The 13,820-nt window shown below is 32.9% G+C and overlaps 2 annotated features.

Annotated features, from left to right (window-relative positions):
- Nucleotides 8,382–8,881: an enhancer, noted in NCBI's record as "H3K4me1 hESC enhancer chr4:32749967-32750466 (GRCh37/hg19 assembly coordinates)". NCBI's record gives its function as "activates a minimal SCP1, AML or CMV promoter by ChIP-STARR-seq in primed H9 embryonic stem cells {active_cell/tissue: H9 hESC(primed)}" and the evidence as "EXISTENCE:reporter gene assay evidence [ECO:0000049][PMID:30033119]".
- Nucleotides 8,405–8,699: an enhancer, noted in NCBI's record as "tiled region #3632; HepG2 Activating DNase matched - State 12:CtcfO". NCBI's record gives its function as "activates a minimal TATA promoter and a strong SV40 promoter by Sharpr-MPRA in HepG2 cells {active_cell/tissue: HepG2}" and the evidence as "EXISTENCE:reporter gene assay evidence [ECO:0000049][PMID:27701403]".

Here is a 13,820-nt window from a genome sequence, read left to right as displayed (position 1 = left end):
TCTGTGAATCCATCTGGTCATAATCTTTTTGTTGTTGTTCTTGGCAATTTTTAAATGATGGATTCAATCTCACTGCTCATTTTTGGTTGGTTCAAGATTTCTATTTCTTCCTGATTTAACCTGGGAGGGTTTTATGTTTCCAAGAATTTGTTCATTTCCTCTAGGTTTTCAAGTTTGTGTGCACAAAGATGTTCATAGTGGTATTGAATGATCTTTTGTAATTTTTGGTGTCAGTTGTAATTTCTCCAGTTTCACTTCTAATTGAGCTTATTTGAACTTTTTCTCTTCTTTTCTTGGCTAATCTAGCTAATGATTACTGATTTTGTTAATTTTTCAAAGAACCAGCTTTTGTTTGATCTTTTTTGTTGTTTTTGTTTGTTTGAATTTCATTTAGTTCTGCTCTAAACTTATTTATTTTCTTCTTCTATCTTTAGGTTTAGTTTGTTCTTGTTTCTCCAGTTTCTTGAGGTGTGATATTAGGTTGTCAGTTTATGCTTTTACAGACTTTATGATGTAGGCACTTAGTGCTATAAGCTTTTCTCTTAGCATTGCTTTGGTTGTATCTCAAAGGCTTTGGTAACTTATACCATTATTATCATTTGATTCAAACAATTTTTTAAATTTTCATCTTGATTTCATTGTTAACCCAGGTTCATTCAGGAGAAGATTATTTAATTTCTATGTATTTGTATAGTATTAAGAGTTCCTTTTGGATTTGATTTCCAGTTTTATTCCATTGTGGTCTGAGAAGATAGTTGATATGATTTCATTTTTTTAGAATTTATTGATACGTGTTTTGTGGCCTGTCACATGGTCCATTTTTGAGAATGTTCTATGTGCCAATGGGAAAAATGCATATTCTGCAGATCTTGGGCATAATTTTCTGTAGATATTTGTTCAGTCCACTTGTTCTGAAGTGTCATTTAAATCTATTGTTTCTCTGTTGACTTTCTGTCTTGAAGATCTGTCTAGTGCTTTCAGTGGTGTACTGAAGTCTCCCACTATTGTTTTATTGTCTATCTGATTTCTAAGGTCTAGTAGTAATTGTTTCATAAATCTAGGAGCTCCAGTGTTTGATACATATAAATTTAGGATTGTAATATCGTCATGGTCTTCTTGCTGAATTGGTCCTTTTATCATTATATGGTGATCAATCTGCCTTTTTTTATTGTTTCTTTGAAGTTTGTTTTGCCTCATTTAAGAACAGCTATTCCTGCTTGCTTTTGGTTTTCATTTGCATGCAATACCATTTTACCACCTTTTACCTTGAGTTTATATGAATTCTTCCACGTTACATGAATCTCTTGAAGACAGCAGATATTTGGATTGTGATTTTTAATCCATTTTGCCTCTATCTTTTAAGTGGAGCTTTTAGGGCACTTACATTCAATATTAATATTGAGATGTGAGGTACTATTTTCTACATTCATAATTATTACCTATATAGTTTTTTTCATTGTGTTAATGTTTTATAGGCCCTGTGAGTTTTAAACTTTTAAGAAGTTCCATTTTACTGAGTATCTGGCTTTTGTTTCAACGTTTAGAGGTCCTTTTAGCACTTCTTGTACTGCTGATTTAGTAGTGACAAATTCCCTCATCGTTTATTTGTCTGAAAATGATTTTATTTCTCCTTCATTTATAAAACTTAGTCTTGCAGGGTACAAAATTCTTGGCTGAAAGTTGTTCTGCTTAAGGAGATTAAAGATAGGACCCCAATCCCTCTGGCTTGTAAGGTTTCTACTGAGAAGTCTGCTGTTAGTCTAATAGGATTTCCTTTGTAGGCTACCTGATGCTTTTTTATTACTGCTCTTACAATTCTTTCCTTTATGTTGACTTTAGATAGTCTGATGACTATATGTCTTGGTGAAGATCTTTCTGCAATAACTTTCCCAGGAGTTCTTTGAGCTTCTTAGATTTAGATAACTAGATCTCTAGCCAGGCCAGGGAAGTTTCCCTCATTTATTGCATCAGATACTTTTGTCAGACTTAATATTTTCTCTTCTGCTTCAGGAGCATGAGTTATTCTTAAGCTTGTCCATTTTTCATGACTGCATATTTTTGGAGACTGTTCTTTTGTTTAATTCTTTTTATTTATTTTTGTCTGATTGTGTTAATTCAAAAGCTTTGTCTTCAAGTTCTGAAATTTGTTCTTCTATGTGTTCCAGGCTATTATTAAAACTTGTCACTGCATTTTGTAATTCTCTCAATTTCCAGAAGTTCTGGTTGGTTTTTATTGATGATGTCTATCTCTCTAGAAAGTTTTTTATTCATATTCTGAACTGCTTTTAAAAATTCCTTTATAATCATTTTCACCTTTCTCTGATATCTCCTTAAGTAGCTTAATAATCCATCTTCTGAATTCCTTATCTGGTATTTCAAAGATTTCATGTTGGCATGAGTCCATTGCTGAAGAGCTAGTATGAACTTTTGTGGGTGTTACAGCACTCTGTTTTTGTTACATTACCAGAGTTATTTTTCTGGTTCCTTCTCACTTGGTTAGACTATTTCTTCTAATTATTCTTGAATTTAGGTTTGATTTGACTTTTTTTGTTTGTTTATTTTTAAATTTATTTTTTCCCCTTAAGTATGAGACTTTAATGCTTATAGTTAATTATAGCCTAATTCTGTTATTAGTGCTTTCAGGGGTAAAGACTCTGTCAGATTTCTTTGGTTATAGAGAGTCTTTGTATGATGGCTCTCTCATATGCTGGTTTTAGTAGCAATGTGCTCAGTAAGTGAACAAGTTTACTATCTCCTGTGTGGTCTCTTAAACTTTATCTCATTCCGCATGCACTTATTTATTTATTTATTCATTTTCCTCCAGTATTTTATTTATTGGTTTGATGATTCAGGCTTCAGACCAGTACGGGAGGTATTTTTGGGTAGTAATTAGCTGTGGCTAAAGCATGCAGGTAAACACATTCCCAGCCTTGAAAGATGCGGCCGCAGGAGCTCTCAGTGAGTTGCACTGAGGTCTTATCAGGGAGAAGGGTTGGAGCCACCTCAACTCCCGTGGCAGGTCAGCAGGAAAGTTATCCACCTATCAGACACACTCTTGTCTCAGTGCTGCAACTATTCAGATTAGAATCAGATTGTGATTCTTTTTTGCAAGCCTGAACCTAGAGGGTGTTCTTTGGTGGGGATGCAGTGACTCTGATGTTTTCCAGAAAGTTTCATGCAGACTGATGGAATGACTTTCTAAATAAATTATACTTTGAGACAATGGGATCTTTATGTAAATAATTTCCATAATTTGTAGAACTAGAAATGTTACATATACATGTTATTTTAGATAGAAATAAATTTATCTATTATAAATTTGTATAAGCCTGTGATTGTAATCCAACAACTTTGTAGGACATGTGCTCACGCTTAATACCTTCTTTAGTGAATGCTATATGCTTTAGCACAAGTTCTGCACTGCACATAATCTCTTAAATGATTAATTTTTAGTTTAAATTAATTAAATTTACTGAGCAATCACTATGTACAGAGTATTAGGACTCCAGGAACAGGATATGAGTTTCTCAGCTGCTAATGTGTTCTGAACTTCCTAATTTGTTCCTGATGTACACGATTTGCCCTCATGTAAGCCAGCTTTGGTTGACTTTGGCCTAAAGTAAAAGGTTGCCTTCATCAGTGTTGAAGGATTCACTAGCTGTCACTAATGTTTACTTCAGCATTTACCAAAGTTCTCTGTGCACTTTGGGGAAGCAGAAAGAGAACGTGTCAGTCTGTACATAAAATTTCAGAATTTTTAATAAAACAAAATGAAGGAGGTTTGTTTACTGCTGATCATTTATCCATAACTATAACTATGCTATCTATTTATAGCTGTAACTATAAATAATTATATCCATTAGGTATATGTGTGTGTGTACATGTGTGCGTGCATGCTTATACATTTCCAAAAAACAGGTTGCAATACCTCTCAAACTATTATGAAAGTAAATGCTTTTTTTTTTCTTTCTGTGTAGTGTTGTGAAGAACTCTATGTTAGGAAATGCTGGCTTAGGTAAATAATTTCAAGAGGGCACAATAGCCTGAAGAACTTTCCTGCTTGTTCGTTCATTAATCCTGAACCTAGAAAACAGTCATGTGATCCGCACTCCAGCCTGGGTGACAGAGGAAGACTCCGTCTCAAAAAAAAAAGGAAACAGTCATGTGTATTTCACCTGATCCCCAGAGGCAACTTAAAATGAAGTGTTGCTGCTGCTATAACTAAGATTCCCTGAAGGCAATAAAAATGGCTGTCAATTCTGGTGTAATAACTTCTGTTATTGTCACCAAAATATTGTATTTCCATTGCTTAAATTATACTGTATTGAGAAAATAAAATGTTTATTTCTGATATCTGCTTAATAGATTTATTTACACCTATTCTTTTTTCTCAGTGGAGAATTCTCCACAATGAAAACACTAGAAAATTCTTAGTATTGAACACTATTATCCTTTCATTTCTTATGTCATAAAATCTGTATTTTGTCCCTGAGTTAACGCTTATAAGAATAATATTTTGCTACTAAATACATATGAAAATATTTAACCAGGGATATAATTTTCTCTGCTGTTTTATATAGTGGCTTCACATTTGCATATATTTTGCCTGTTCAAGAAAAGTGAAACAAACCACCAAGAAATTATCTGATTTATTCATTCTTTCAAAATGGGAAAATAACCTATATAATTGCTATAAAATAAATTTGGTATATTAAATTTAAAATAAGTTGATTTTGATTATCCGGTGACAGCCCTGCTTTTGTCTATCAGGTGAAGGACTGTCACAAAATATTTTCTTTTATATTTCCCATAAATAGACTTTCTTTTGCTACTTTGATAATTTTATGTTTTTATCTCTATTACTATTTATGTAACAAAATATATTTTGCCTATTCTTATATTCAGGGAAATATTGATTGTTAAAATAAACTGCAGTTGTTTATCAGAGCAAATCGCAGTCTTAAAGTGATTACTTGATACACACAGATATTAATAATCACTTATTTAATTGCTGAACATTTCTTTCAAATAGCATAGCTATCTTATTAGTTAAGTTCATAGATTCAGCACTTTAAAAGTGTAATATTCTCATTTTGTATATATGTATGACTACATATATGCATACATATATAATCTTCAAGATGTGTTTTATTTTTATGGTAGGCTTATTAAACAGGAAATTCTAATTTTACAGATTTTTTTGTAATTAGGGATGAAGTTCTAACTTTGCAATTATTTTCATGTATTTGTACATTTTTATAGCAATGATTCTATAATTTTATACTAATCTATGTTAAGATTTCAGAGTCATCTCTTTGCTTACTGTACAATATTGTTTTTAAAACAGTAGTACATACTTAAAGGGCAATAAATTTAAGGCTTCCTTCTCTGAGCACTCCTCCAACCCTCAGTCCTCTATCCTGCGCCACTTTCCAGAGCCTCCCTCTTCACCATCATGATATTTCACGATATTTCACAGCTTTGGAAGCAAAAGTACCCATAGCTACCAAGCAAATCTTATGAGACTTTTTCCTTTGGTTAATCATGTAGCATTTTGTCTTCTATCCGCTGTACATTGCCACTTTTCCAATTTAGGCATCTGCTTGGCCATTCAAATTTGTCTTATGGTACAAGAGAGTTATTCATCATTCTATTTTTTTTTTCAAAAAAGCTATGTTTTATTCAGTGAAACCAACAGTATTGGAGAGAAAATAAAGGTAAATCAAAAACATTTATAGGAAGTTTCCAGTTTGAATTGAGAATGAGTAAGCAAGTCAAACATGCTACAGGATTCACTGTGACCCCAAAATCACCCTTTATTCTGAATAGGGAGGTCTAAATTATTATTATTATTTTCATTCTAAGAGACTATTTTCTAAAAATATCCAATTATGACCATGCCTTCTAGACCATGGCAATTTTCCCACCATATTGATAAAAATGGCAGTCTAAGTAGTTTGTTATATAATTTTAAACCTGGATTATATTACATTTAGTAGTCAGGAATGACTGAGCAACTATATTAACCCTAGATACTTAGTTTACATCTTGGAACAAATCTACTAATATTCTTTTTATCGTTTTTCTCTCCTTCCTCTGATCTAGTCAGCCATCAAGTTCTATTTATATAGTGTCTGTAACAAACCTATCTTTTAAATTTCATATATATATTCTCTACCTCCCTAAAACTATATTTGACATTTGTATAAAAACATTTACAGAGTGTGCCCTGATATATGGTCCTATTTAATGCTATATTTGTAATATAGCTAGGAAGATAATATTATTACAATGGATAGTGTAAGTAATTTGATCACATAGCTCCTGACAAACAGATGCTAATCATAGGCCTTCAGATTCAAACTAAGGATGCTTCCAACAAATTAACCTCACTAAAATTTATGAGACTATATTATGCATATATAATATTAAAACTTTTACTAAACACATGGGCAACATTATTCAATACATCACTCTACACAAATAAAGTAATATCTTTACAATTAGCAGTTCTGTCAGTTAAAAAATAATTTGAGAATATTTATATTAATGAACTAGGTAAAAATTAATCTTCCAAAACTTTTAGGTAATCTTTACAAACATGATTTAAATATTTTGATATTGAATGATATTTAAATATTTCCCTATGCTGGACTTACTTTTATTCTATTTTTTTGACATGGTAGATTTAAATTTCATGCATATGCTTTGTTTTATTTTTACTTTTTTATTTATGAAATTTGCCTACTTAGAAATAGTTTTATACTGCAGTGGTAGTTCAATTTTTTCCTTGTGTTTATCTTTGAAAAGAAAGCAAACATCCTACCTCTTTTAAGACATAGCTGTTCATTACACTTACTGTCTATTACACAACCTTGTCCAACCCATAGCCCATGGGCCACATGCACCCCAGGATAGCTTTGAATGCAGCTTAACACAAACTCGTAAATTTTCTTAAAACATTATGAGATTTTTTTGCAATTTTTTTTTTAGCTCATCAGCTATCGTTGGTGTTAGTGTATTTTATGTGTGGCCCAAGTGAATTCTGCTTCTTCCAGTGTGGCCCGCAGAAGTCAAAAGATTGGCTACCCCTGTTTTATGCAATAGGTCTTCCATCTCTCCAGGTATCTGGTAATCTTAATAATAACCTTAGAATTTATAGTATATCTAATGAAAAAGATTACATGATAGAAAGCAAAAAATATTGATTAGTAATTAGTTTTGTGAACCCAAATCTATGACTCAAGATATTTGGAACTTTCAATAAATATTGCTGTTTAGAAAAACATGGTCCATGAATCTATTCATTAGGAAGCTACATTTTACTCTTCTCAGATGCCCTTTGTGAACTGTCTTCTGGGTTTCTGATTGAGTTTATTTCAGCTCTTACAGAATAAAAACAATGTGTTGTTTGCTCCTGGCCCTCATCCCTCAAGTATCTTATCTATTTTCAAGTCTATTGAGAATTGAGATTCTGGCATGTCAGAGCAAACTATAGATAAACACCAATTTCTTTTTTTTTAATTTTGAAGACATGAGCAACTAATAATACTGCCCAACATATTCATTCCTCAAAAATCTATTACCTTAAGAATCAGGAATGTTATGATGAGTATGAAATTTTCTTGTTTATTATATCAGTGATTATTTTATCTTATTTTTTTATTTATATGTTATATCTTTATGCTCTTTGAAAATTCTGGCTGTGTTTTTGCTAAGATGATTGCTATTTCAACGATGTCACTTAAAGTTATTTTATGTTTGTTGAAAATTATATAATTGTTTTGTAATGCTTGAAACTCCATCTATTTTTCTGAGAATGAGATATTAATAGTGTGTTCACTAATATATCATATGATTTATAATTTTGCATTAAATCTCAAATTTCATAGTATATGAATTAAAGAAAGATGGGTAAGTTTAATAGGACTGAAACAAAGGAATCAGCAAAGTTTTTAAAGACTTTTTGCAATATAATTTTCACTACTTTTCAAATTTTGACCATTTTAAGAAACATAATTTTCATATTTTTTTATTTTAACCATTTTGATTATATTGGCACAAAACCAAGAAATCTAATTTTAGAACATTATAACATCAACTGAGTAAAATCTCTATAGTAAACTATATCAATAAAAGTAAATTTATTGTTAAAAATGCTGTATAGTCAAACACTTGATATGTCATGAATTACTTTCTTGAGTAAACATCTAAATGACAATTTTATAACATAAATAAATAAGCCATTAAACTGTTTTTGTTACTTTTATAATGTGTTCGAGTATCCCAGAATATTACCTTTCACTGTCATCCTAAAATTAACTAAAACTTAGTTTTAGCATACAATTTTGACAATATAGCGTATCATTTTGAGTGTCCGTTTGAAACAGGAGTGTTGCCTTATCCCCATCACAGAGGGTGATAGGAGTGTAGCTCAGTTCTTATGTGGTCCACTGCTGAGACTCCTAGGGGCAGCACACAGATAGACAGGTGCAAAGGTCGTGGGAAGCATTTTTGAGCTGTGACCGCACTTGGCAGAGTCTAGGAGTGAGTGTTTACAACTCCCAAAGCCCAGGTGGGCGTGTGTTACAGTGTGCTCTTTCAGCTATGCGGTCTGCAGATGGATTGTGTTACTCAGCCCAATGGACTCTCTGCCTCATCGCAACGACAGGGGCGCCAGTGTGACAGCCTGAGTTCTTGCCCAGAGTACCTGAAGAACCAGATCACAAGTGGGCTGGAACGTTGAACGCAAGGTTTATTGAATGGTGGAGGTGGCTCTCAGCTACATGGATGGGGAGCCAGAAGCGGAAGATGGAATGGGAATGTGATCTTCTCCCGGAGTCCCGCCGCCCAGGGGCTGGACTCTTCCCCGACTGTCCCTGGCTGAATTCCCCTGGGGTCTGCGTCTTTCTGCCATTGCTGGTCGGCTGGTGTCTCTGGTGTCTGCTAGTGTGCTCCCATTTTCCTCTTGACGCCCAGCCACTTGTGTCTGCGACCACTTAAGGTCTCAGGTTTCTACGGGCACAGAATGGGGGGCATGGCGGGCTAGAGTGGTCTTGGAGAATGTAACACTGGGGCGTGAAAAGAGGAGTGCCTGTTCTCACTTAGGTTCGTGGGCACAGGCTAGAGAATGGAGCCCTATCCAGGGTCTTTGCCCTTCTCTTCCCAGCACTTCCCTGCCCCCATCCTGTATCACACCCAACAAATAATTTAAAACACGTATTTGCGTAAAGCATCATGTATGGCACAGGAGGTATAATGAAGAATAAGGCAGTTTCTAGTTTCAATAAGCTCACCACGGATTTGAGCAAATCAATGTAAATCTCTAGTGTACAGGCAAGAAATAAATCAAAAGACTAATATGTCAGAGCCATTTTCCTTGAAAAAGAGCATTTGATTAATATTCAAACATTTGATTTTTCTTAATAATTTTGTCAAAATTATCAGTGGATGTATACAGACTGGAGGAAATAAAATATATGATGATCGTAGTCTTAAAATACGTGCTACAGAAACTAATTGGGTAAGCATGTTTTTGATCAAACCATTTGATTTAAATTTTGTATTTGCTAAATTATTCTTTCTTTGAGCCAAGCAAGAATAAATATAACTTACAAAATCATAAGCATTTAAATATAATTATTTTGGATAAAAAATATGAGATAAACTGAAATAATTAATTGATTATTTAATTAATTATAAATTATCAAAATCAAGAGAGATTCAAAAGAAGCACATGTCACCTGCTTCGGCACAATATGTATCTTTTGTGAAGAAAAATAGTCTGAATATGAGCTTACTGACCACCTAAGCAAAATGCAAAAAATAAAGTATGTTGACAGTATTAAACATTTAATACCTAACAAGATTTCAGGAAAATAATTCTTTTTCTAGCACTGACTTTTTAGAAAAACTTTCCATATGTGTGTATATGTATGTGTGTGTGTGTGTGTGTGTGTGTGTGTGTATAGAGATAGAGAGAGACAGCAATATCTTGAAGAACAATGCTGAAATGAATGTATTTTTTACTTTTATTTTAGCGGCCCTGTATCAGAAAGAGGGTAACTACTACTAAAAAATAAATGTTTAAAAGGATTCAGATTTGGAGAAGATAGAAATAATAACCCAATCAATAGTATAATCCTGTGGTGGACCACCTAGATCTTCCAATGAATATTAGACAAGTACAGAAATATATGTATTACTTATCTCTCAGTCAATCCTTTATGAGCATTACTTATCCATTATAACCTTACATTATGATTTGAGTATTTTGAGGTTCTATTCCCTGGAAATAGCCTGGAGTACACTGACACTATTTGACTTCTCATAGCAAAAACCAATAGAGGAAAATTCTTACATATCAAAAAATCAATTGAGGTAATGTAACATATTTTCTTGAAAATTAAGGAGCCTATTAAATTCAACTACAAAAGATTGTTGCGTGATATTTTGAGGATTAAAAATATGTGTGTATGTGCCTGTTGTGTGTGTGTAGCAGTAGTAGGTTTATGAACTTCAATGGAACGTGGCAGAAATGCAATATCTTTAGGCTATTTTTTTGCTGAATATTATTTAATCCATGAAACCATTTAAAAAATGTGTATCTTAAAATCAGAATAATATACAATTATAATGCCAGGCAATTTGGATGCTAGCATAAATTTGACAATAAACCACATGATTTTTGTCACCCCCAAAATGTTCATCATCTCTGGAGGGCAGATATCTCACCTCCTGTAATACCTTTGTTTTTTGATAGAATGAATAAAGAAAACTTTTTTTTCATCCATGAGATGCTAGTTTTGGTTTTTTAATAAACTCAAGTTATTAGATTTAAAATTTCTATAATCTTTGTGGAAGTCAGTGTGGCGATTCCTCAGGGATCTAGAACTAGAAATACCATTTGACCCAGCCATCCCATTACTGGGTATATACCCAAAGGATTATAAATCATGCTGCTATAAAGACACATGCACATGTATGTTTATTGCGGCACTATTCACAATAGCAAAGACTTGAAACCAACCCAAATGTCCAACAATGATAGACTGGATTAAGAAAATGTGGCACATATACACCATGGAATACTATGCAGCCGTAAAAAATGATGAGTTCATGTCCTTTTTAGGGACATGGATGAAGCTGGAAACCATCATTCTCAGCAAACTATTGCAAGGACAAAAAACCAAACACCGCATGTTCTCACTCGTAAGTGGGAGTTGAAAAATGAGAACACATGGACACAGGGAGGGGAACATCACACACTGGGGCCTGTTGTGGGGTGGGGGGAGGGGGGAGGGATAGCATTAGGAGATACACCTAATGTTAAATGACGAGTTAATGGGTGCAGCACACCAACATTGCACATGTATTCATATGTAACTAACCTGCACATTGTGCACATGTACCCTAAAACTTAAAGTATAATAATAAAAAAAAATGCACACACACAAATTCGTTCTTTTAAAAAATATTTTCTAACAAGCAGAATTGAATTGATGTGTGATCTTGACTGAATGTCTGTGTCTCCAAAATTTTTATATTGAAACCTAACACCCAGTGTGATAGTATTAGGAGGTGGGGCTTTTGGTCAGTGATTAGGTCCTGATGGGAACATTCATGAGTAGGACAAAGGGCCTTATAAAAGAGGCCTCTGAATGATCCTTTGTCCCTTTGTCATGTGAGGACACAGCTAGTGAAAATACATCATCTTTGAACTAGAAAATGAGCGCTCAGCAGACCTTGAGTTTGCCAGATTTGATCATGAACTTCCCAGCTTCAAGAACTGTAAGAAAAAAATATATATATCTGTTGTTTATAAGCCACCCTGTCTGTGGTACTTTGTCATAGAAGCCCAAATAGATTAAGGCAATTATTAATGTTCTATTGTTACATTAATTATAAATAAATGTGGTACATAAAAAGGGATTTTTTTAGTTTTGAAACTTAAATGTTATTTTTATATTGACAAATTACAGGTATAATATGTTTATAGGGTACAAAGTGGTGTTATGATTTTTTATCATAATGTGGAATGATGAAATTAAATTTATTACATATTCCTCACCTCAAATATTTAACAATTAGTGAATAAAACATTTGAAATTTTCTCTGAGTAAAATGTATATGTACAATACTCGACTATTAGCTATATTCACAATGTTGGATATTAATCTCAAATAAATGAAAAATTAGGAAATCAAACTTGAATTGCATATGAATATGAACTTCACTTATTAGCATACATCAAGATATAACAGATATTCAATATCACATTTATAAATCATACCTAATTAGCAAAAATGTCCCAGGTTTCCATGTGTGCCCTAGTTACAAATATGGTACGTGTAAAACAAATCATTTTGTTTAAGACTACCACGAAGAGACTGATTATCAATGGCAATTTGGATAGTTTTTCAGTAGTGAATAATGGTTCATTGATTATATGATAAGCATAAGTAATGGTAGTTATCAAATAGTCTGAAAAATACCACATTAATAAATGAATAAAGAAAGAATAAATAACTTCTTAGAAATCAAATGGTCTTAATCATGTGATTAGAATGAAGATTATGTAAATTGTTTGAAGAGAGTAGTAAAGATACATAAAGAAATATAACGTTTATCAATGTTTTACCTGTAAATTATTTTTAAGCTTCTTACTTTAACTTTCTATTTTTTAGCATTTTTTCTCTTTCTTCATTTCTGTGTATGGTGTAAATCTCTATGTTTCAGTGTGTGTTTTTCCAAGTAGGCGTGGCTCTTGGTCTTGTAAGAGGTCTTGGCAGAGGGCAAGAAAACTTACAGTCTTCAACTCATTCACTATGTTGACTACAGGAATTAATCCAAGTTGTCTTGGCCTTGGTTTTCTCAGCTATACAACAAGAGATTTGTATTATGTAACTTATAAAAACATTCTCACTTTTGCAATTCTGTGATAATCTATGGATTTGTTTTCACTTCTTCCCTTCTTTAAATAGTATTCTTGAGAATCTCTAGGGAAAAGCTTTTTTTTTTCTATTTTCAATCTCCTATTTTTGTTGTTTTTACCCTAATTGTCTCAAACACTCAAATGTTGAATAATTAATTGGTGGAATTTGATTAGGTTTGAGAAGAAATATGTTTCTCTTCTTTTTTATTATTTTTTAAATGTTAACTTCTTCCAGCATCTCTGAGAAACTCAATAACATGCATCTGTTACTACTTAGACATTATACTAGAGAAATAGCTACCGTATTTTGCGTGCTAAATGACTTTCAAGCACTGTGCAGGCACCTGTAAACCTAACATATAATCCTTACAGCTAATCTGAAAGGGTGATATTTATTTACGGTCCAGAAATTAAGAAACCAAGACAGGAAAGAGGGTAAAATTTTGCCCACAGCCAGACACCATTAAGTTGCAGAAACTAATTTAAACTTAGGCCTGCATCACTCAAAAGTTATTTTTCTTTCTAGCATACCACATGAATTTAAGAGTCACTATTAAAATTGAAAGTATTAATAGTCTTAAGGCATTTATTGAAGAATCTAAAGGCAAATCTTTTACATTTATCAAATAGAACCAGTTTATTTGAATTTTTGGAGTCACAGAATAATTTCAAATGTGTCTTTCTTCCAGGCCAAACCCAGTTATAAGACACTTGAGAGCAGGAACCAGAGTGATCAGGGTGCTATCCTTCACTGTCAACACTCAGCCTACTAACTTTCATATGGAATCTTTCAATAACTAGTTGAATTAGACTGAATTAAAGAATATGCTAACTCCTTTTGTTTCTTAGGCGCCTAAAACGTAGCTATTTAGGTAATTTTTAAATA

Source organism: Homo sapiens, chromosome 4, assembly GCF_000001405.40.
Source record: "Homo sapiens chromosome 4, GRCh38.p14 Primary Assembly".
In the NCBI taxonomy this organism is placed as follows: Eukaryota; Metazoa; Chordata; class Mammalia; order Primates; family Hominidae; genus Homo; species Homo sapiens.
This window is presented reverse-complemented; position numbering and strand designations above follow the sequence as displayed.